This window comes from Homo sapiens, chromosome 10 (genome assembly GCF_000001405.40).
Source record: "Homo sapiens chromosome 10, GRCh38.p14 Primary Assembly".
Taxonomy (NCBI): Eukaryota; Metazoa; Chordata; class Mammalia; order Primates; family Hominidae; genus Homo; species Homo sapiens.
Genome location: NC_000010.11, coordinates 85,529,586 through 85,554,637, shown reverse-complemented (window position 1 = coordinate 85,554,637; position 25,052 = coordinate 85,529,586). Strand labels below are relative to the sequence as shown.

The window sequence follows — 25,052 nt, the reverse complement described above, 5'->3', positions numbered from 1 at the left end:
TTGTCAGAAATCACCAGACTGTCTTCCAAAATGCTGAATCATTTTGCAAATCCCACTATCAAGGAATGAATGTTTCTGTTGCTCCATGTCCATGTGAGCATTGGATGTTGTCAGAGTTTAAAATTTTAGCTGTTCTGATAGGTGAGCAATGGTTTATCATTGTTATTTTAATTTGTAATTAACTAATGACGTGTTGTTGAGTATCTTTTTGTATGCTATCTGTAAATCTTTGGTGAATTACTTGTTCAGATCTTTTGCCCATTTTAGTTGAGTTGTTTGCTTTCTTATTTTTGAAGTTTAAGAGTTCTTTGCATATTTTGTATACTAGCCATTGGATAGCTGATAGGCAATTGTTTTTTTCTCAGTCATTCTCCTAACAGTGTCTTTGACAGAGCAGAAGTTCTTAATTTTAATGAAGTTCAGCTTATCCAGTTTCTCTTCATGGATTGTGCTTTTGTGTTATATCTAAAAACTCACCAAACCCAAGGTCACCTAGATTTTTTCATATGTTATTCTCTAGAAGTTTTATAGTTTTGCATTTAGGTCTTCGATTCATTTTGAGTTAATGTTTGTGCAAGGTATAAGGCCTGTGTCTAGATTCATTTTTTTTGGTATGTGGCTGTCCAGTTGTTTCACCACCATTTGTTGAAAAGACTGTCCTTTCTCCATTGAATTGTCTTTGCTCTTTTGTCAAAGATCAGTAGGCTATGTTTATGTGAATTATTTCTGGGTTCTCTATTCTGCTCCATTGATCGGTCTTTTTTTTTTTTTTTTTTTTTTTTTTTTTTTGTCCGTACCACACTGTCTTTACTACTGTCATTTCTATGAATTTGAATACATGTGTAGATCTATGTAACCACCACCATAATTAACATACACAACCATTCTATTATTCTAAAACAATTCCCTCATGCAAACTCTTTATATGCCACCTCTCACTCACACACAGCCTCTGACAACCACTGATCTGTTTTCATCATGATAGTTTTTTTTTTTTTTTTCTGGGGACTACTGTATGAATGAAATCATATAATACATGACTTTTTGAGACTGGCTTGCATCACTCAGCATGATGCTTTTGAGATTTATCCATGTTCTTGCGTGTATCAGTGATTGTTTCTTGTTATGGCTGAGGGATACCCACGCTGTATGAATGTGTCACTATTTGTTTATTTGTTTTCTAATTGAGAAACATTTGGGTTATTTCTAGTTTTGATCAATTAGTAATAAAGACATATAAGTATCCCTGTATAGATTTTTGTGTGTTAACATAAGTTTTCATTTCTGTAGAGTCAATACCCAGGAGTGAGCTGCTAAGCCATATGATAAGCATATGATTACTTTAGAAGAGGCTACTAAAGAAGCCATTTTTCACAGCAGCTGCAGCATCTTACATTCTTATTAGCAATGTGCAAGAGTTCCAGAAGCTCCACATCATTGACAGGAGTTGATATTGACAGTAGTGTATAGTCTGGACATTCAGTATGTGGCAGTGATATTTCATCACGATCCTAATTTTTCATTTAGTCACTGATGATGTTGAACATATTTGCCTGTGATTATTTGACATCCATGTTTTTTCTTTGGTGAAGTGTCTGTCAACATCTTGTGCCCATTGGGAAAAAATGTGTTGTTTGTTTTTTCACTGTCAAGTTTTCAGAGTTCTTTATTTACTACCGGTACATGTCTTTTGTCAGATATGTAAATTGTAAATATATTCTCTCAGTCTGCAGCTTGTCTTTTCATCCTTCTGATAATGTCTTGTGCAGAGCAAAGTTTGTTAAGTTTGACGAAACCCCATTTATCATTTTTTTCTTTTATGTTTCAGGCTTTTGTTGTCATATCTAAGAATTCTAATTCTTTGCATAGCCCTAGGTCCTGAAGAGTTTCTCCTAAATTTTTAGTTTTGCACTTTACATTTAGAGGTATGATCAATTCAGAGATAGTTTTTATATGAGGTATGAGATGTAGGTTAAGGTTTATTTTCTTGTCTGTGTATGTCAAATTGTTCTATCATCATTTGTTGAAAAGGATACTTGTATTCATTGAATTGCTTTTGTAGCTTTGTGAAATATAAATTGGCCACACTTGTGTGGGTTAATTTCTGGACACTACTCTGTTGCATTGATCTACATGTTTGATCCTTACCAATAGTACATAGTTTTGATTACTTGATTACTTGATTTATAGTAATTATTAAAATTGGACAGTATGATTTCTCAGAATGAATTTATATTTCTTTTGCAAAATTACTCTAGTTATTCAAATTTCTTTGCCTTTCCTCATAAATTTTAGAATCAGCTTGTCTATACAAAATATTCTGCTGAAATTTTGGTTAGTACTGAATTCATTTACAGATCAAATTGGGAAGAATTAATATCTTTCCTATATTAAATCTTGTAATGCCTGAATATGGTAGGTCTCTTCATTTATTTAGGTCTTCTTTAATTTCTTTCAACAGTACTTTATAGTTTTCAACATACAGATTCTCCATTTGATTTTCTTCCAGATTTATGCCAAAGTGTTTCCATTGTTATTGGAGTTATTATAAATGGTATTGTTTTTGTTTTAATTTCTGGTTTTAATTGTACATTGTTAGTATATAAAAAATGGTTAATTTTTCAGTATTGACTTACTTTTTGCAACCTTGTCAACTTTGTTATTTTAGACATTTTTTACTTGTATGCATTTATGGGGTACAAGTGTAATTTTGTTACATGGATAGATTAGTGGTGAAGTCGGGGCTTTTAGTGTATCCATCACCTGAATAACATATATTGTACCCATTAAGTTATTTCTTATTGTCCATGTCCTCCTAGTTCCTCACTTTTCTAAGTCTCAATTTTCTATCATTCCACACCCTGTGCCCATGTGTACGCATTATTTAGCTCCCAGTTAGAAGTGAGAACATGTGGTATTTGTCTTTCTGTTACTGACTTGTTTTACTTAATGGCCTCCAGTTCTATTCATATTGCTGCAAAAAGATATAATTTCATTCTTTTTATGGATGAATAGTATTCCATTGTATATACATACAACAGTTTCTTTATCCAATCATCCTTTAATGGATACTTAAGTTGATTCCATATCTTTGCTATTGTGAATAGTGCTAGAATAAACATAGGTGCAGATACCTTTTTGATATAATGATTGCTTTTCCTTTGGGTAGATACCTAATGATGAGATGGCTGGATCAAATGGTAGTTCTATTTTTTGTTCTTTGAGGAGTCTCCATACTGTTTGCTAAAGTGGCTGTACTAAATTACATTCCCACCAACAGTGTATAAGCACTCCCTTTCTCTGCATGCTCTCCAACATCTGTTATTTGTTTTTGATCTTTGTTCTTTGGGATTTTCTATACAGACAAGCATGTCCCCGTGAATAAAGACAGTTTTATTTATTCATGTCTAATTTATTTCTAAAAAATAATTTCTGTTTCTTGCCTATTGCATTGGCTAAAAGTTCCAGTACTATGTTGAATAGGGATAGTGAGAAAGGATTCCTTGTTTTTCCTAATCTGAAGAAGAAAACATTCACACTTTCATTATTAAGTATGATAGTAGCTGTAGATTTTGTTTGTAGATACCTTTTATCAAATTGAGGAAGTTCCTTTCGGTTCCTGGTTTGCAAAGAATTTTTATCATAAATGAATGCTCAATTTTGTCAAATTATTTTTCTTCATCAATTGATCTGATAATGTATTTTTTCTTCTTCGAACTCTAAATGTGATGGATCACATTGATTGCTATTCGAACATTGAACCAAGTCATATTTTACTGGGATGAATTCCATTTGATCATGGTGGATTATCATTGTCATTATGATGATTTTTATGTAGCTTCATTAAATTTAATAATATTTTGTTGACAATTCTTGCATCTTTTAATGCAAGATATTGGTCTGTAGTTTTCATTTTTTTCTACTGTCCTGCTTTAGTTTTGGTACAGAGTGATGCAGGCTTCATGAAATTATGTAGACAAAATTTTTATTCTATTATTTGAAAGACATTTTCGACACCTGATGTTATTTTTTAAAATATTTGATATAACTACACTGGGAAATCATCAGAGATTGGAATTTCTTTTTCAGGAGACTCTTGAGCTACAAATTCGAATTATTTAATATATGTAAGAAGATTTGTCTATTTCATCTTGTCTGAATTTGTAGTTTACAGTTTTTGAGGAATTGTATCATTTCAGATAAATTATTGAAGAGAGTGCATAGAGTTGAGCTGGCTATTCACTCTCTATTCTTCTTACATGTATGTCATTTTTAGTGAGAGCACCTCTTTCATTTTTACTGTTGGTAATTTATATATTTTCTCTTTTTTTAACAATCTTGATATTTATCCATTTCATTTATTATTTCAAAGAACCAGCTTTTACTTTCATTGATACTTAATATTTGTTGTCTGAATTAAACAAAAAATTTTTTACTCTTATCTTTTATCTTTACTCTTATCTTTACTCTTTTCTTCTTTAAACTTGCTTTGAATTTATTTTGCTCTGTTTCTTATTTTTTAAGTTAGAAGCATAGAATATTGATTTAAGAACTTTCTTCTTTCCTAATTAATAAATGCATTTATTGCTGTGAATTTCAGTCTAATCACTTCCTTAACTGTACACAACATCTTTGATCTATTTGTGCTTTTATTTTCTTTAAGTTCTATTTTTTTTCTAATTTATCTTGGAACTTTCTCTTTGACTCACAGATTATTTTAAAGTGGGGTAGGTAATATGCAGATGTTTGCTGATTTTTCAGTCATCTTTCTATTATTGATGTCTAGTTTAATTCCATGAAAGTCTGAGAACATTGTAGAGTTTAATTATTTTAAACTTCATAAAGTTTTTTAAATGATTCAGGTTATGGAGTATCCTGGTAAATGTACCATGTGGACTTAAAAAGAATGGGTATTCTGCTGTCATTGAGTGTAGTGTTCTGTAAACATCAATTATATGCAATTGGTTGATAGTTTTATTCAATTCTTCAATGTCCTTGCTGACTATCTGCCTTCTAGTTCTCTATATTACTAAGTGATATATTGAAATCTCCTAATATAATCACAAATGTTTGTATTTGTCCTTTAATTTCTGTCAGTTTTGCATATTTAAGCTCTGTTGTTAAATACACATGCATGTAGGATTGTTATTGTTATTTCATATGCAAGGACTCCCTGTAATTTTCTCTGCTCTGAACTATCCTTTTCTCATATTAGTATAGCCAATCAGGCTTTTGTGGGTTAATGTTTGCATGGGACATAATTGTCTATCCTTTTTCTTTTCATTTACCTATTTTGTTATCTTTGAAGTGAGTTTATTGTAGACAGCGTATAGTTGAGTAATTTTTAAAAATCCATTCTGAAAATTTCTCTTAATTGCTGTGTTTAAGATTATTATTAACAGATTTGTATTTAACTCTACTATTTCATTGTCTGCTTTCTGTCACTTCTATTTGTCATTTGTTTCTCCTTTTTTGTTTTCATTGAGTGACATTTAAGTTTCTTTTATTCTGTTTTAATTGATCTATTATGGTTTTTACTTCATCTGTTTATTACTGGCTGCTCTTATAATTAAAATATATACACTTTCTTTTTTTGTAAACTTCTAAGAATTTTAGTACATTATATAGAAAACTTAACATCACATAGGTCCCCTTACCTTCCTTCCTTTACGTTATAGTTTTCATATTACAACAACTTACATTAAAAACGTTATCAGATGAATGTTATAATTTTTGCTTCAAACATGTAATAAATTTTAAAAACTAGAGAAGAGGAAAATAGCCTATTATATTTATGAAGATTCTCCTTTATTTCTAAAATTCCAATGACATGCATTTTAATCTTTTATTATTGTCACACAGATCTCTGGGGCTCTCTTCATTTTTTCCCTCTCTGTTTTTGCTAATAGGCCCATCCAGTGAGTTTTACATTTTGGTTACTATACTTCTCAGTTCTAAAATTTCTATTTGATTCTTCTTTTTATATGTTATTTATTTGTTGACCTTCCGTTTTTCCATTTTTTTCAAGAGTGTTTACTATTGCTTCTCAGGCCCTTCGAATAATAGATGCTCTGCAGTCTTTATCAGGTAATTCCAACATCTGTGTCATCTTGACATTTGTGACTGTTAATTGTCTTTTCTCATGCAAACTGAAAGTTTCTTGTGGTTTTTTTTTTTCCCATGGCAAGTAATTTTGGCTTAATTCCTGGATATTTTGAATATTATGTTTTGTACTCTGGTTCTTATCTAAATTCTATGGCAAATGTTGATATGGTTCTCTTAGTGGCAAGGCAACCTGAATAAGTTCAGACTACAAGTTTCAACTTGCCTTCTGTGGGCTGTGAATTCAATCTCAGTTCACTGCTCAGTGCCTCACAGTGCTATTCAGATTTTGCCCACATGTGTGCCACCCTGTGGTGGATTTGAGACTTGGTCAATGATCTCGTTATTAGTTCTGTCCTCTAAATCTTTATATGCTCAGTAGAATCAGATCCACGCATGTGCAGACTGAAAGTGAACCCAGGATTTCTTAAACTACTTTATGGGGGATGTCTTCTTGGTGTCCTCCCTTTTCACAGTCTCTCAGGTAAAGTATATCCAGTGGCTTTTTACAGACTCCAAAGGGTCCCTAGCACTCCTCTTTTTGGTCCTCCAGAGAAAGTGTTGTGACTTTATTTTTTCTGCCCTGCCATGCACTTCCATGACTACATTTTGTCTGGGGTCAAGTGGAAGGATGATATATGAGGAAAAAGGCAATGGTAGCTCTCTCTACACTCCTGGGTTCCCAACCCCACTGAATAGCGAGGCTTCTGCCACTACTGCTGTGATATTACTTGGAGGATAAACAACAGCAACACAACATTGACAACAGAGGATTTCCACATTCCTTTTGAGATTTCAGAGTTCCTTTCTCACCTCCTGGAGCCAGAATGGGAGAGTTTTTCCTGGAGGCCTCTCTGTTTGTGCCAATGACCACCTCTTGGTTTCAGTTTGAATTGCATTCAGCCTAGAGGATAACATAGGGAAAAAATGCATAAACTCACCACCATGTGGTGATGCTTTGAATTCTGGTCTTCTTTCCAACCCATTTGCTACTATTTGCTTTTCATTGTCCTAAAATATCTCCTCCATATATTCTCTCCTGATTGTGTAGTCACAGCAATGGGAAAGACAACAAAAACATAGTTACTCCAAAGGACACAGAACTGGAATATATCCATTAGGGTTTTTTTTTTTTTTTTTTTTTGCATTTTTTTCAAATTTTTATTTTGAACTAATTTAAGACTCACAGAAGTTGCAAAAATAATACTGGAGGTTCCTGTGTGTACTTTCCCTAGCTTTCCCCAATGACAACATCTTATATACAAGAGTAACATTTTCAAAACCAGAAAATCGGTAGTGTTACAACACTATTAATTAAACCATAGGAATTATTTGACTTTTATCAGCTTTTGTTGGTGGTGGTGATGTTGATGATGATATGCAGTACTGTGGAATTTCACATGTATAAATTTCTGTTGACACCACCACAATCAAGATATAGAACTCTTCCAGCACTACAAAAAAACTCCCTCATGCTGCTATATCTGTATAATCACACTCTTCCTCTGATTCTAACCCCTGGTAACCATTGATCTGTTCTCCATTATTGTAACTTTTTCATTTCAAGGTTGCTCTATAAATGGAATTATACAGTATAGCCATTAGTTTTTAACAGAATCCGATCTTTGGCACCTTGTGTTTTATTGCTATTAAACATTCAGACATCAGCAATATTCCTTCAATGGGACAAGGACTGTAAAACACTGTACCTCAAGTCCCTCTGACCAGTACAGGAGCTGAAAAAAGAGTTATTGTAGTATAGGATATATTTATTGACTAGGTTCTGTTAAAGGATCACATACCTCATTATTGTTCATTTCTGAGAGCCCAACTGCTGGCCTGTTGGAGTCAGAGAAAAACTAGCTTTCACTGGACTCATGGCTTCAGGTCACAAACTATGACGAGGAGACCACGCTTGTCTCCTCTCTTCCCCTGTCCCCCTGTGCCACCTCCATGAGTGTGAGGTCAGGAGAACAGTGTGCTGGCAGACCACAGTGGAGCTGTTCAGAAAAAGGCACATTTAAACACACCTATTATCTCCATGCCTTTGTCAACAAAATATTTCAATTTCTGATGAATCTCTCTGTGTTCCTAGATTCATTTTAGGTCCAGCAAAACATATTGTTTCTTTGTTTGCTTTTCTATTTGCTCATGGTTATTACTTCCCCCTGAATGGTTCATTATAGCAGCAGTCATAGAATGATCATCTTGGAGTATATTATTATTTATTATGTATCGAGTGCCATAAAGGCTCATAAAGCTTTCCAGGTGCCTATAAGGATACCAGCCATTGGCTGCAGAGCACACAGCTGCGCTTAGGCACTTACTAGAGAGATGCAGCAGGAGATCTGAAGATGAAGCAGGCAGTTCCGGGGAGCAATTGATTCCTTCCAGCTTCCCCCTAGCAGAGGACGTGGTTGCAGAGCTCAGGAAGCTCCATGCTGTAAGGACACAGAAGAGGAAGTGAACAGAGAATGCACTCTTAATGTGGGTTTCATAGGCGAAGGTGGTGGTGCCTATAATAGTAGGAGAGGGAGCAAGACTCCTTTAGTTATAAAAATACAACTCTGATTCTCATATATTCTGAATGAGATTCTGTAGTCTCATTCAGAGAGGATAGGGAATGAAAGCAGGAAGGCAAAGATCACTTACATTTATTATCTATGTGCCAGCACTGATTTGGGCATTGGAATAGAGAGGACTGGAACCCATGGTGTGTTACAAAAAACAGACAAAAGATGAATAAATAAATATATAATGTAATGTTTCAGAAGGAGACTGAAGTTGGGTAAGGAGATCAAGCATAAAAGATGGTTATTTTTGATAAACCAGGGAAGCATGTTCTGAGACATGTCCTTTGAGCAGAGACCTTAATGAACTGAGGGAATGAACCATGTAAATATCTGGAGAAGGGCTTTGAGTAAGAAGGAACAGCACATGCAAAGGCCCTGGTTATGCTTACTCTTGGCAAGTGAAGTGGCAGTGATCCATTAGTGGGACTGAAGCCCAGGAGACAAAGCGGGGGTGGGGGGTGGGTGCTAAAGATGAGGTTGGAACATCAGCCATGGGCAGACCATGTAGACTGTGGGGAAAAGGGTGAATTTGTTCTCTGGGTGATAGCAAGTCATTGAAGGGTTGAAATGGGGAAACTGCATTAATCTGTTCATGATTTTAAAAGTTTACATTAGGTGTTGTGCTAATGTGTGGAGAATAAACAGGGATAGGTGAGCATAAGAATGAGTCTGTGTGTCCATGACGAGCACTTGCCAGGCTGACATACCCATTACATTTTATTCCTATGAAATTCTACCAATGCAGTAGATAGGTAACAATAATCTCCATGTGACGGAATAGTCTGTGACTCAGCAACTGCTGTAGTTTACTCTTGCAATAAACAGGAAGCAGGCACTTGAACCCAGGGGTGGTTCAGTTCTGATCTCTCCTTTTATCCCAGAAACAGCTTGGCTGCGGATACCTTGCTTTTGAGAGCCAGGAAGGGTCATTGCCCCTGCATTCTTGTCTCTATCCATTCTGTTTCCTCCTTGGGCAATGGAGACCAGATGTGTTTGTCTCACCCTCATGATTAAAGTTTAGATCCCATATATCCCTCCACATTTCCATTTGCCAGTGCCCTCCCAGGTGGCATCAGAAAACACACTGCCGTGATCAAGTGAGTATGACCCTTGGTGAACACTCTCCTCCCCATCTGGGATTGCCACTTCCCTTGTTTAAAACACCAGACACAGGCAGAGATTCTCTTCTTAACTCTCCAGTACTATCTTCCCAAGAAGTGCGATTTCCCTAGGTTTGCTCACCATTAGAGCCCAAATTCTGAAATTAGCTGGTATTGTCTGTCAGCAAAATGGTAACTAATATGAAATCCATTAGAAAATTATGATATTTGAGAGGCCGAGATGGGCAGATCACCTGAGGTCAGTAGTTCAGGACCAGCCCAGACAACATGGTGAAACCCCGTCTCTAATAAAAATACAAAAATTAGCCAGGCATGGTGGCACATGCCTGTAGTCCCAGCTACTTGGGAGGCTGAGGCAGCAGAATGGTTTGAAACTGGGAGGCAGAGGTTGCAGTGCGCTGAGATCGTGCCATTGCACTCCAGCTTGGGCAACAAAGCAAGACCCCATCTCAAAAAAAAGAAAAGAAAATTATGATGATCTCTAACCAAATCCTTGCAGTTCACACAAGGGGGCAAGGAAAGGTATGTTTTTGTAATTTTTCAGCTCGAGAAGAATGGGGAGGAAGCTACCACCTTGTGAAATTCTTTCAGGATTGTATCATCTCCGTGATTCTTCCTATTGTAGCGGAGAAAAAAATAAACACTTTCCCCTTTTCCTCTACTCTCTTGGGTTTAGTGGTTGGGGTATGCAAATTAAGCTGACAAAAGACAAATTAACAGGAGAAAAAACATACAAATATTATTGATGTTAATATTTTTACAAGTATAGGGTTTTACAAAAACAGCAAAACAGCAACAAGCAAGGAAAACCCAAAGTATTGGGTAGAATTGTAAAGTTATATACCATTTAAACAAAAGGTGAAAAATTGTGGGGAAGTGACTACATAAAGGAAAGGGGAGTTTTGGGCTTTTAGGGGCAGTAAATTATGTGAAGGTAAATATATGACAGAACTAACAGAAGATAAGTGTTATTTTAGGGAGGTTTGGGCAGACTCATCTTGGTGCTGACTTTCCATCTTTTTCGTGACCATAAAACTTCCCTGGAGAAAGGATTTATGGTGGTCCTCATTTCTCAGAAGTTTCTGCTTTTAGTCAGATAAGGGAAGCTCCAAGAAGGCTTCCTTCTGCATCTGTTGATTCGCAATTGCCTTCAGCTCAAAATTATCCATAAACCAAAGTGGAATATTTTGGGGTAACATATTCCCCTTCATTATCTTCGACTGGGGAGTAGCATGCAGCCAGCTTTGTTCAATCACTTCTGCTTGTACCTGGCTAAAAGTCATAGCATTGCCCAACATTCTTCCTGAAAGAGGTAATATGATATAATCAGTAAGAATTTGGCCTCTGCAGTCTAATTGCTCTGTTTAGAATCCTAGCTCTATAACTCACTATTAGGGATTTCTAAATGATACCTTATCTAATTGTTGTGTTTAGAATCCTAGCTCTGTAACTTTGTACTACAGGGAAGTTTTTGTGTGTGTGTGCTTCAGTTTTATAATCTGTTAAATGGGACAAAAACGAGATATATGCAGTGTGTGCTGGGTGATAGCTTCTGTTGCCATTAACTATATCAAGGACGAGTCTGGGCTGGCTGCACTGGCTGCTTTCTCCAAGCTCATGAGCCTGAGGGAACTTAGTGCAGTTGTTTTTAAATACTGGCTGCCCATGTCAAGAAGAAAAAGAGCTGCCCGAGGCTGATGTTGCCTCCTGTCCTTGCCCTTTCTATTGCGGTAACTATGGAGAGGTTTTTTTTTTTAACCTCCCTCTTGGGGACATACTCCAGTCTCAGAAGAGCAAATGTGCTTTCTTCCTGGGGGCAGGGGCTTTCTTTATTCTTCTCCCTCCTGGGCTCTGCTCACAATGGCACTTCACAACTGTTCCTTCATCAGTACATTCTCTGGGCATCTGCAAATCCCAATCAGCCAGGAAGCTATTCCAAACTCACTGTGAGGTTTGTATATGAACAAATGCTCTTTTTGACTATGCCTTATCAGCCTATTGATGCCCCTCTGGAGGTTCAGTCATGCCTCTTTATTTCCCCCTGGATGGAAATAAGGTATAATTTAGAAATCCCTCAGTTTATTTTTTTCACTTTTGATAGAAACACAGGCCTGATGAAAATTTCCCCTGTTTTTATTACCTATCAATCTTTCCAATGGAATTAATAGAGAGAAAGGCAGTTAAACCCTGTGCTCAAATTGCACTATCTTACCCAAAGTCCTATGAAAGAAAAATTTTGTTACATATTTTAAATGATATGGAGTGCCTATATCCCCTAGATAAACCTTGGAGTCTCTAGGTTAAGTCTTCCTGTTTGAACGTATCCACTTTCCCAGAACAGGCTCGGGTGGACTCTGGAATTTGCAGGAGGCCAATAAATCACTTCTTACGTATACCAGGGATAGTAGCTCGTTTTTAATCTTCACTCTGACCAAGCTCTGGCCCTGACACATGATCTCAGGCATGAGATGGGTGTCTGCCTTGGGCTCTGCTCTTGCAGAGTCACTATTCTGCAGGAAGCAGCTTTGCTTCTCATGCCCAGGAGCACCTGTGCAGCAGCGCACTTTTCAGGGCCCTGGAATGTAAATCTCGTGAAGACAGGATCTGGGCACATTCTGTTCTTTGCTGTCTCTCTCATACCCACATCAGTGTCTGACACATGGTAAGTGCTCAGCACTTACTGAAAAATGAATGAGTACAGTCAGGAATGATGGCCTAGATACTTTTCATCCTGTGTTTTGTGAAGGTATTGTTTGCCCACAGCACATGGAAGATTTTAATGAATTTTTTCACCTTTAGCTATGACAAACTGTGTTATATAGTTTAATATAAATGGGTAATTAAGAAAAAATATAAATCAATCTATAAAGAAATTAACATCTTGTTTTAATTAAGAACTTTCTTGCCTATCAGTCTTCTCAATAACTGTGTACTCTTGTCCTTGTGAAACTGAAGGCTGACCTGATTAAGCTAGCCAAAATTAACCTGCCTTGCTTGCTTTTAACTGCTTACTTCTAGTTGATCTTAAACCCTTATAGCTAAAAGTCATGTAGCCAAACAATACGTAACTCAACTCTCACTAGCTTCCTTACAGATAATATATCTGATGTGTATGTCACTATGGTAACGGTTGCTTTAACTTGTTTTTTGGGAGCTGGGGGACAGCTCTTGTCTGGTTTCAACTGATTGAGACCACCGACCCTTCAACTGGGCCTGCAGAAATGCCTAAAAGGTTATCTTTTGGCATTAGAGGGACAAAACTCCTTCCTCAGATCATGCTAATGAACATGCGTCCTATGAAGAGTCATGACCCCCAGCTACACTTGCAAAGACCATCGATTACATCATCTTTCCCCACTGCCAATCACTTTTCCCCATGCCTGGACCACCTTAATCCTCTATCCCATAAATATCGCTAAAACCCCATCTTCAGGGAGATGTACTGGAGACATGTTCTCCCATTTCCTCACTTGGCTGCCTCATGAATAAACTCCCTTTTGTAAAACTCATATCAGTGATTGGCTTGCTGTGTGTGGGCAGAATAAGCCTGGTTTGGTATCACTTATCAATCTAACAGTCCATGGACAAATGGTGAGTGCTCACTCTAATCAAATGGGGCTTGGCAGACTTTATTATATAATCTAGCAGCTCAGTGAAATTATTCTGTCTAATTCAAGGAAACTATGAGTTGGTATACATTCCTCTTCAGTCTTAGTGAGATACTTCAGAACTTGGGTTTGGTTCAACCTCAGAAGCTCCTATTTTTCAATGATGTTAACTCAAGAAAATTGCTGAGAAATCCCAGTTTTTATCTGATGTCTCCTCTGCTTCTGTTACTTTGTCTACTTTTATTCAACTTCCCAGGATTCCTTGCCTAGGGATATCAGTATCCTTCTGAAGAACGCTCAGGAGAATGGTACGTGAAGGAGGAGACAGAGCGGAAAACTATTTTTCTGTAGAGATGTACCTGTGGTGGACAGAATTTCTAAAAATGGCACTCAAGATTCCATGCTGGAACCTGTGACTATGAAAAGATATTATTGCCATGGCTCTGTTATGTTATATAGTACAGGTGATCTTGAAAAAGGGAGATTATTTGGGTTGACCCAATCTAACCATAAGTCCTGAAATGCACAAAGCTTTCTCTGGTGTGACAGAGTTTCTTTGCTTGACCAAACATTAGTCAGTCTCTTGAATCTTCTCCCAGGCCCATCTATGCACTTCCTTATAAAATCCACTTTTAGCAAGAACCCTGCTTAGTGAATTTAGCAAGAACTCCTCACCCTCGATATCTGACTGGACTCCTCATCCTCCACCATCTCCCAGGTGATGTCTGAACATCCTGGACTGTCTTCAGCAAGAATCTTGTTAGGTCAGTTCATCCAGAATTTCCCTTACCCCTGATGTTTCCTGTTCATAATTTTTCATCCACTGTTCCCACCCTGCTCTCTGGCTATAAATTCCCGCTTGCCCATGTTGTATTCAAAGATGAGTCCAATCTCTCTTCGTTAGAAAACTCATTGCTGCAGTCCCCATATCTGTTGCGATGGCCCCGAATAAAGTCTGCATTAATGTGCTTTAATAAGTGGCATTGAATAATTTTTTCTTTAACAGGAGTAGAAAGCAGAAGGCAACGTTAGATGTAAAAAGAAAGACCTCAAAGCACTGTTGCTGGTATGAAGATGGAGGTGAGCATATGAGAAGGAATGTGGGCAGTGTCTAGGGGCACAGAGTGGCCCCAGCTGCCAGCCAACAGGGAAAGGAGGACCTCAGTCCCATCACCACAGGAGCTAAATTATACCAACACCCTGAATAAGACTAAAAACTATTTATCTCCCAGAGCCTCCACAAAAGGGCCCAGCTTGCTCACATCTTGGTTTCTGTCCTGTGAGACTCTGAGTATAGAACCTAGTAGAGCCCTCCTGAACTGGACTTCTGACTCATAAAAGTGTGAGATAAGGAAAATAAGTTGTGTCCTGCTAAACCTCTAGCAATTTATTTTTTATTTTTAATTAATTACTTTATTTATTTATTTAGACTGAGTTTCATTCTTGTTGCCCAGGCTGGAGTGCAGTGGCATGATCTCGACTCACCGCAACCTCTGCCTCCCAGGTTCAAGTGATTCTCCTGCCTCAGCCTCCTGAGTAGCTGGAATTACAGGCCTGCACCACCATGCCCGGCTAATTTTGTATTTTTAGTAGAAATAGGGTTTCTCCATGTTGGTCAGGCTGGTCTCAAACTCCCGACCTCAGATGATCCGCCCGCCTTGGCCTCCCTAAGTGTTGGGATTACAGGCATGAGCCACCATGCCCAGCCAACCTCTAGTAATTTTTTACACTAACAGAAGAAAAGTAATACACATTCTTTCACTTTTAATTAAGTTCTAAATAGAATAGGTAAATGGAGTCCCCAAATATCCTACTTTTAAAAACTAAATTAGAAGGTGTACTCATTTGTGCCATAAAAGATTCTTTACATCACAAAAGAGTGAAAAGTTCCCTTTAAAGAGCACTTAGTGCAGTGTTTGTTTACAGATCATTACTTGCTTAACAGAGGAAGATACTGAAAGCTGAAATGTTCTAAGCTATTGCTGACTAAATAGCAATCAGAAATGAAGATAAAGTGTGAGATTATAATAATAGCAAATGGACATTTCCACATCCATTTCAGATTTTTTCATTTTACATAACCGGACATGAAAATTCCAGAATCTACACCCAACATCCTTTCAAGCCACATTTAGCTCAGGTAGGAAACTGCAGCTCAGGAGACCTTAGAAGTACAAAGAAGAGACAAGGAATTCTTGCCTTTGGGTTCTTTTCTCCCAACTACTTTGCCTCTTAATGATTACTAACATTGAACTTTTGACCAGGGGAGCAGAGAGGGAGAAGTATCAAGAAACTCAGGAGTTAAGGTGAAAAATCCTAACAGCAAGGCTCTTGATTCTGAGGAAGAGAAAAGGGGGACCCTTTGTCAGTCCTCTGCTTTCAGGACCATGCCAGGCCTACTTGACTATGACCTCATTAAATTCTGCACGAGGTACAATTTTCCCTGACGTTTCAGGTAAATAAACCAAGGTTCCAAGATTAGAGCCAATTTGTTCAAGTTTATGAAACATTTAAATAAAGGGCAGACTCAGTTTGGTTCCAAAGCTCATGACATTTCTGTTATAAAGCTGGCTCTCCAGACATCTGCAAAGGTGGACCAGTGATGAGAAGTAACAAAATCAACGTTAGAGCAAGAGCAATTCTACCTTTGTCACAGGGACCTTAGGGCTCAGACTGGGCTGCAACAAATTCAAGATTTTGGCTAAAAGATTCCTAAGTGCTTTGATACCCTCTCCTCCTATATACATTAATAAAATTGATATTGGTCCTAATAATTAGTTTTCATAGTTATCCTTAATGGTTAGACTTAGGATTCAATTGATCCAGAGAGACATTAGGTGCGAGTAGCGTGTCTTCAATCAAAACCTAAGGTGGAAGTAGAGAACATACATTGCTAGGATCTCCAATTGCCCTAAATTCTAATTTTACCCTTTAGGATACTATTTAAAGTTTTAAATTTTATTCAAACCAGGTAAACATTCTTTTACGTTCCAAAGTAATTACAGCTTGGTGAATACTGAGCTATTCATCATAAGCTCCGTCTTACTATATACTTCACCTGGCATTAGGTAGGCACCCCCTAAGTATTTCTCAAATTAACAGTATTGGTCTGTAGCTAACTCTGGTCCTTTCTCATAACCCCATGGGTTCTATGAAGCAATCAGTCATGCACTCACCCACTCTCGGACTCATTAAATCATTAAATAATTAAAACCCTTATGGTCAGGTTTGTTAAATTTATATTCATTTCCCTCACCCTCTTGAGTGATTTTTTTTTTCTTTTTGTAGTTCAAATAAGGGTTTGGCATTTATTAAATGATTTCTATGTGGCAAATAAATTCCCATGAAGTATTTACTAATTTTGATACTGGTCTTATGCAAAAGGTTATATTTGGTGCCAGTAGGATACTGAGCATACTGTAAACCACACATTCATGTGTTCACTTATTCATCCAACAAATATTTACTCAGTTCCAGTTGTTTGTCACACACTGTGAATGCAAACACAGAGATGATTGACAAGTCTTCCATCCTTTACAGAGCCTTCAATACATGTGTGAGAGAAAGAGGAATTATAAGCAAAATATGCCTCTCTAACATGCTGGGGATTTTAATTAAAGTTAAAAGTTTAAAACACAGAGGTAGACTCTGCCCCTCCTCTCTGCTTTTCCCACCTAAGGACAAGCTCCTTTACAACACACTTTCTTTTTTAAAAAAAATACATATATTTTTTAAATTTAAACTAGACTTTTACTTCTTTATTGCTTTTTTATTTTGTGTTATCCTTGCACAAGGGCCATACTAACCTTCTCTGTATTGTTCCAATTTTAGTACTTGTGCTGCCGAAGAGAACACAACAACACACTCAGAGACAGAGCCCATAGACAATGGCACCAGAGGATCTAGGAGCAGATTTCACTCTCCCCATCAATTTACCTTCCCATATTTTCCCACCTTTTGGAAGCCTGAAGATGCTTTCTTCTTTTTCTTGTCACTATGTAGGATTTATGGCTGTTTGTTAAAATATTATTTAAGCAAGGACCCTAAGCCACTGCCTTGAGAAAGAAATACTTTTGAACTGAGACCTTAGGAAAGGTCTCATCAGGAGCATCATGGGTACAGCACGTGTTAATAAACTTCTGCTTGTTTTCCTCACTTGTTTAATCTGACTTTTGTTTTCAGGAGAGTGTCTCAACAGCATCTCTTTAAGAATCTAAAAAGGGAAAGGACAGAAATTATGTTTCCTCCTTTACAATTTGGCACCCAAGATGGGGCCACAGAGACACCCTGACTGCTGCAGGACCTATAGGTGAAATCCTGGGAGACCTGGCAGTTGCAGCAGCAAAGAGTAAGATTTCTCACCAAGGTCAGCTTCTCTCAGGTCTCTATCTGTTGTACCTGGCCAAGAAAGAAGGTAAAAAATTTTCCTCATCCTTCCCTTTCCAGGTTCAGATTGATAGGAGGAAAACATTTACAAATAATAATAAAATTAATTCTTTGAATCTGTGACTCTTGTAGATTTGTTTAAGTACCTATTTGGTTATTGATCTTTAGTTTTGTAAGGATGATCTTTGTTTTCCTCGTCTCTGACTTTCTGAGTGGTTTGTCATAGGAGGATCACAGCAAGATTCTTCTTTCATCTTGTTTTATTTCTTGGGAAGCTTGGCTTTGTAAGCAGCAAATTTTTTCTGTGGTCTGTGCCACCTTGAGGGCATAAATTGTCTGGCTTATGTCAGGTAGCCAGCTGGGAGTCCCACTGGGCCCAAAATGTCTGTTTGTCTAAATGTGCTGGCTCTCAGGATTTGTCTTAATTGTCTCAACCTTCATTGCCTTGCTAATAATAAAGGCCTTTACTTTCTTAGGCCATCTTTGGAAAAACTTCAGATCTTGAAGGGGATTGCATTTTTGCATCCTCTTTGGGGATGTAATTTTTGTGTCTGGTTATAAGCCATAAAAAGACTTACTGATTTTAAGTAACAATTATAGTAGGTTTACTTTGGAAATTGGGACTTTTGTATCTAGAAGTATTTTTTTTAAGGGATTCTTCTTAGTCTCCAGGAGATGTAAATCTTAACCATGACTTTGAAATGTCTAGGGAATTAGATAAGCAGCATTCCAACTGAGATAGGATTTGAAATAGAGTTAAAGTGCTTTGAACCAACCACAAAATTCCTTTCCTCAGTGGGTACCTTTAGCTCAGGAGAGAAACATTTCTAAAATTACTCATTTTAAACAATCAAGGTATACCTTTGATTTAAATTTTGGCTTACATTTAGAGCATAATAGGAACTTTTTTGTTTGTTTTTTTTAGTCTTCTTTCCTAAGCTCAATGGAACCACATACTTAGAAAAACAAAAGAAACAGTTTATTAAAACGTTTTAAAGACAAAGAGTTTTAAACAGTGATTGCACTAGACCTCTAATAAACAAATATACCCCACCTCCAAGACTCTTTCTTTATGTAAATTTAAGAAAGGAAAAGGCAAGAAACAGCAATGTTTGCTATTTGCCCAGCTAAAATTTGATAAAAAGATTTTAAGAGCTCTATAGTCAAAAGTCACCTTAATTAAAAGCTGATATTTAGGCTATATGTATATGCATATATTTTTAAGACACCCTTCTTCTCTATGACAACTATATGCACTTCTTCTGTCTGTTTCTCCTCTTGTTGATGTAATTTTTGCCTCTAAGACTTGTTCTTCCATTTACTTCTGTCTGTCCTTCTTTCCTCGTGCCACCCACAATGTTGCAAGAGGAAAGATTGCAATACTGTAGACCTAAAAAAGATTTCTAACAGCGCTGGGATCCTGGGAGGAAAACAGAAAAGGCACCACAGGCTCCTCTTTTGGGGAGGAACCTCTGTTTTTCCTCCCGGAACCCCAAGAGTTGTGAATGGACAGGTTCCTGTCAGCTGTAAAGCTTTATATTCTTTTACATTGAACTCTGTGATTTATCTGGCTTTTATATGCATGCATGTGTACATTTGTAGGTTGTATGTTGTATCTACATGTATGTATATGTCTATACATATGTTTGTATATTTTCTACATGATACCAAATTAACTTAAAGATAAATGAGTGCTCATAAATTAAATAAATAAGCCCAAATATTTTTCCAGTTCATGTGACTTGAGTAAATCATTTGGGGTAAATAAGGGTAAATAAGACTAGTTTAATATTATTGGTTTAATAAAAATAACTATGTCTTCTGAGTTTATCAGCAAAATATTCATATGTTTAGCTTTCAGGTTCTTGCTTTTCTGATACTTGCCTAATCTAACATATAATAAAACAAAAATGATTAATAGAAAATTTAACTTGAGATGATGATCAGAGTTGCCTAAAGTCTCATAAAATTTTCCAAACATAATTGTTAAAATTAAATAAAATAGATTTAAATAAAAGTTTATAAGTAAAATTTTAAAAATAATTATAATTTTTTAATGTTTACTTTAAAAAGTCTCTCAAATCTTTTAGTAACTATACCCTTAGAGTTTTTTGCTAAGCTAAATTAAATAATTGATATTCATTGACTATCTAGATCATTTCCAAATAAGATATATTGCTAAGATATTACTAAAAATGAGTGTAAACTTTTTTACTTTAGGCTTCTTATTTCAGAGAAACAAAAGATATCTAGACCTATTAGTAAGTACGTCCTGTTCCACTGAAAAATGACTCCATTAGAAAGCTTATGTTTCTGAGAATTATAAAATATGTATTCACAAATTGTTAGTATGTGACTGAGTTAAAAATTGTTTACTGCTTAGATTTTCACTATGAATTAAGGTTAAGAATTAAAATTCTGACTAGTATGTGGTAACCAAAACTAGAACTTAAGAAAGGAAATAAATTATGTTTTCTCCTCTACAATTATAAGAAAAAATGATAAGTACTTCTATGTTGGCAAAATTCAGAAAAGAAATGTAAACACAGAGGAAGGACCTAACAGAGATAGAAGTGGGTAGGGGAATGATGAAAGGCTCTTCAAAGGAGTCAAAGCATGAGTGGAGGTGTGAAAAATACACAGGAATCATCCAGGTGGATAGGGAAGAAGTGAAGGACAGAGCATATGCGTTTGAGTGTGATATTCTAAGGGACAGATTGGGAAGCTCAGATGTGGCTGACTGATGTGTGAGAACAAAGCATAAGATAGAGACAGAAAGGTCCATCTAATTCCTAGGTGCTTCAGGCTGTGCTCACACAAGGGCTGGGCAGATAACCATGGTGCCCAACAAGGTGCTGGCAGAGAAGCAAAGCTGACAGATGCCGGCTCCTGCTTGAAGTTAGGCATTGTCCCTGTAGGGTAAGGATAAGCTTGCATGAAGCTAACCACTGTGGTTGGCCCAAAATGAGAGACAGGCCACAGGATGTGATGGGAAACACTGCAGACATCTGCCACACGTGGTTCATGCATGTGACTTTGGGACTAGGTTTTCCTTGATCCCCAGACATTGCCAGAAAACCCAGACAAGCCCAGGAAACCCAGCTGAGGTCAAGAAAAAGTCTGGATGGGACCTGAAATAGTACAGCCCAAGGGCCAATAAAGTGGAGAAGGGTCAGACAAATGACTGCATTTCAGGTCCTGATGAACTTTCTGGCCCCTAGGACCTCACTAACCTTGGCAGAAATCCAAACATGGCTTCCTTTTTGAGACAGGTAGGATCTTGACTCAAACACTGGCGATGGACATTTGGAGGGCACAGTGGCCAGACATTGGAAGTGGATAAATCTGGCCTGGACGATGATTTCAGTAAAAGAAACCTGAAACCTTTTTAGCAGAACATACAAGGTTCAGTTTTTCCTACTCCAGACCACTCCCTATTCCACTCTGCTCCTTTAACACATTCATCTTCCTTTCCTGCCCTCAAGGCGTTTGAGTTTACCACCTCTGTTGGAGAGTAGATTATGGAACTCTAGAAGATACCAGGTCAGCCTGAGGCCGACCAAATAAAAAGAATCACAGAAAAAGTCAGGGGTGTGAGGGAGGCCAGGAAAAAATACTGTAACTGCCCAACGGGTTCACCTTGCCCACTGCCTAGAAAGAGCCAATTTATCAAGAAGGGGATTGCAATAAAGAGTAAGTCACACAGAGCTGGCTGTGTGGGAGAACAGAGTTTTATTATTACTCAAATCAGTCTCCCTGAGCATTCAGCTATCAGTTTTTAAGGACAACTTGGTGGGTGAGGGGAAGTCCATGAGTCAGGAGCACTGGCTGGTCAGGTAGGAGATGAAATCATAGGGAACTGAAGCTGTCCTCTTGCACTGAGTCAGTTCCTGAGTGGGGGCCACAAGATCAGTTGAGCCATTTTATTGATCTGGGTGGTGACAGCTTATCCATCAAATGCAGGGTGAGCAAAATATCCTAAGCACTGAGCTTAGGAGCAGCTTAGAGAGGGTCAGAATCTTGTAGCTTCCAGCTGTGTGGCTCTTAAACCATCACTTCTAATCTTGTGCCTAATTTGTTAGTCCTATAAAGGCAACCTAGTCCCTAGGCAAGAAGGCAGCTTGATTTTGGAAATGGCTATTATTGTCTTTGTTTTAAACTATAAACTAAGTTCCTCCCAAAGTTAGTTCAGTCTATGCACAGGAATGAAGAAGGACAGCTTAAAGGTTAGAAGCAAGATGGAGTTGGTTAGTTTAGATCTCTTTCACTGTCTCATTCATAATTTTGCAAAGGCAGTTTCAACGTGGTCACTTAACAGAGAGAGGAAGGCATAGACAGCAGGTCTGACGTCAGGGACTGATCAGGCAAGATGCACATTTAAAGCATCTGCTGGGTGCAGCACTGAACAAAATCAAATCAGATCTTGTCTAGAAAATCAATCCTTGTGGCATCACCAGGAATTTGGAAATGTAAGGACCAAGTTCAGTAGAGTCAATTTGCTTTATTTTAACCTCTTCACCAGGACTCTCATTAATGAATTTGGGATTTTGTGTACAAGGTCCAGAACCAAGTCTAAAGGAAGAACACTGGTTATTTCCCATAGGTTTCTATTTCTGCTCCTTTAATGTAAAGCTTTACATACACTTTCCCCAACTTTGGCCCAGTCTGTTCTGCACCTTTCAAGCTCCCCTTCCCTCCCTAGGATACCTTCCTGCTGCTTTTGTTCAAGGCTAAGGTAATTCGAGCCATTTCTGAAAACTTTTATGAATTTCCCTATCCAGGACATTTGGCCGCTTTGCTTGACAGCTGACACAGCTTGTGTGAAGTGCAGGCTTTCCTTCCTCCTAGTTCAAGGGCATACAGGCAGAGCTTCCTAACATCTGAAAATGGGAAAAAATTTGCAAAGATTATTCACCAGCAGCCTCAGGGGTGAGGGATTGTCTGATTTGGTGCCTGGGAGAGTAAAAGGGCGGGTGCTCTAAAACTTCCCCTAACTCTCCTAATAAGGGTGTCATTTTTCTCCTCCCTGAGTGGGAGGGAACTGAGAATAATGAAGGAAGCTGTGCATTTGTAAAAACTTACCCCACCCGGTCTACCCTACTTTTGCTGATTCTCTCTCTGAGATTGAGCCCATGGAATCAAAATTCTCCCAGGAGAGCCTACATTTTCACTCTTTTTCCCAAGTGTTCTTTCATAGTTGGCTTTCTGGATGAGAATGATCCCTAACATCTGTAAAATAATTTCTCTTCACATCTGTGTAAGAATCTCTTACATCTGTAGAAGGTTTGCATATTCATTATCTCATTTGATCCTTACAACTGTCATGTATAATTATGCTAATGATGACAAAAATAATTTAATTCTTATTCTGTTCCATGTAGCACTAAGGTTATTTACACCACTAAATTTGATCCGTCCAAACCCTATCATGGAGAAATTTTATTAATCCCATTTTTCAGATGTGGAGACTAAAATCTAGATATGCACATAGATGGCTCAGGCAAGGGCATCCAGCTTTTCAAGGTCATTTAGTTTTTCTATTATAGAGCTGGGACCAACGACTAGGTGCCCTGCCTTATCATCTTGTGCTTGTTGTATTATACCAGATTGTTGCAAACCTAACTTATAGAACAGCATTTTCCAAACTGTAATAATGTGTTTAAGAGTCACCTGCAGATTTTGTTAAATACAGACTCCAATTCAGTAGTAGGTCTGGGTGAGGCCCACACATTTGTATATCAAACAAGCTCCTGGCTGAGGCTGATGCTAAGGGCCCAGGGACCACACATTGTGTAACAAGGCATTAGGAGATCCTGGTTGCAACCGTAATTTCTTCAGTCCCTATTATGAGATTAAGAAAACACTTTCAAAAGAGACATTTTGCCACCTGATCTTCATCTTGCTGGTTCTGACCATCCTGCAAGAAACTGCTTTGAATGGACAGGTGAGCTGGTATTTAAAGGCAAAGAATGATCCCTGAGCTAAGGCTGGAGAGCCTCCAAGAGTCTGCATTATGGGGTGTCAGAATTCTTCTTTCTGGGAGCTAAGAAGAGCATTGTTTACAGAGAAAAAGTCCAGAGCCCTTGGTCTCAAAGGCAGCTTTACTTCGTATGGGAGAAATATGAGGCTGAGGAAGAGATGTATTTTTTTATTCCAAAGGATGCAATTTTTTTTCTCAGCTTATCAAAGCATTACATACCCTTTGGAAATCATTTGCAAGATACATGAAATAACAAAAACACTGTTTAACTCATTCCAGAGCTCAATGTCTAGCAATAACCACTATTTATCACTGTTATGTATTTACAGTGAGTTTTTAAGCTAGATGAAGACACAAACTGGTAGATAAAACAATGGAGATTACACTGCACTTTTAGATTTATGTGCTGTGATTGGTTTAACAATTCTGTCAGAAGCATCACCCTGGGTTATTAAGGATTCTCTGTATGCATAATTTTTGATGGTGATATAATTTTCCATTGTTTGTCTCTATCATAATTTCCGTAACTATTCCCATATTGCTGTTCCTTCAAGTTTTTTTCTAAGTTTTCACTGTTATGATTAATGTTGAAATAAATCTCAGTTTACATTTTTTGTTATTGCCTTACAATAAATCGCTAGGAGTGAACTTAGTGGAACAATGGTCTTAGACATTTTTAGGATGTTTGTTCCATACTGTCAAGTTTATTTCCAGAAATACTGTTTTCTAGAAAGGATTTTTTTTTTTTCTCTCCAAGAAGTGTCCCTGGATCCAGAGACTGAGCCCATTCTGAGAGCCTTCCTCCTCAGGGAAGCTAGCACTGTGTCTCAGCTATTTGCTTTGCAATTGTTTTCCTAGTCTTTCCTCCCTCTCATTATCAGAAAAGTGGCAGTGGAGGACCAATTTGGTTCTTAATGCACTCTTACTAATTGCACCGTATGTTACACATTTGGGTCACGGTAGTTTTGAATTCTTTTTGTGTGTCTTTGGTAAAGAAAATGAAAATGAGCCAACAGAGAAGTGGATCATGCTGTGGGAAGCCCACTACCCATGCCTCCCCCTGCACCGTCCATCCCTGTAGGCCACCAGGACATGTCCATAAGAGGACTGGGAAAAAGACCCACTCAATATTGCCTTTCTGGTCCATTTTGATAGTCTGACAGCTTAATTGCAGTTAAGCTTAACTGAAATTCAATTGCCTGTACTTTAATTGTGGGTGCTTCCATATCCCAAGGTTCTCTCTTGTTGTTGTTCAAAGTCGCACATCTTTACATGTGAATAC

General features: G+C 37.6%; 1 long non-coding RNA gene and 1 pseudogene across 1 annotated transcript in view; one reads left to right on the top strand and one right to left on the bottom strand.

Moving 5' to 3' along the window:
• Positions 1-17,559, top strand: part of LOC105378404 (uncharacterized) — a 46,329-nt gene extending 28,770 nt beyond the window's left edge. Inside the window, exons 5-6 of the long non-coding RNA XR_946157.3 lie at positions 14,411-14,484; positions 17,236-17,559. This is a non-coding gene — a long non-coding RNA (uncharacterized LOC105378404). The remainder of the gene's footprint in view (positions 1-14,410; positions 14,485-17,235) is intronic.
• On the bottom strand, positions 17,155-17,259 carry RNU6-325P (RNA, U6 small nuclear 325, pseudogene; annotated as a pseudogene).
• Positions 17,560-25,052: the final 7,493 nt, after the last annotated feature.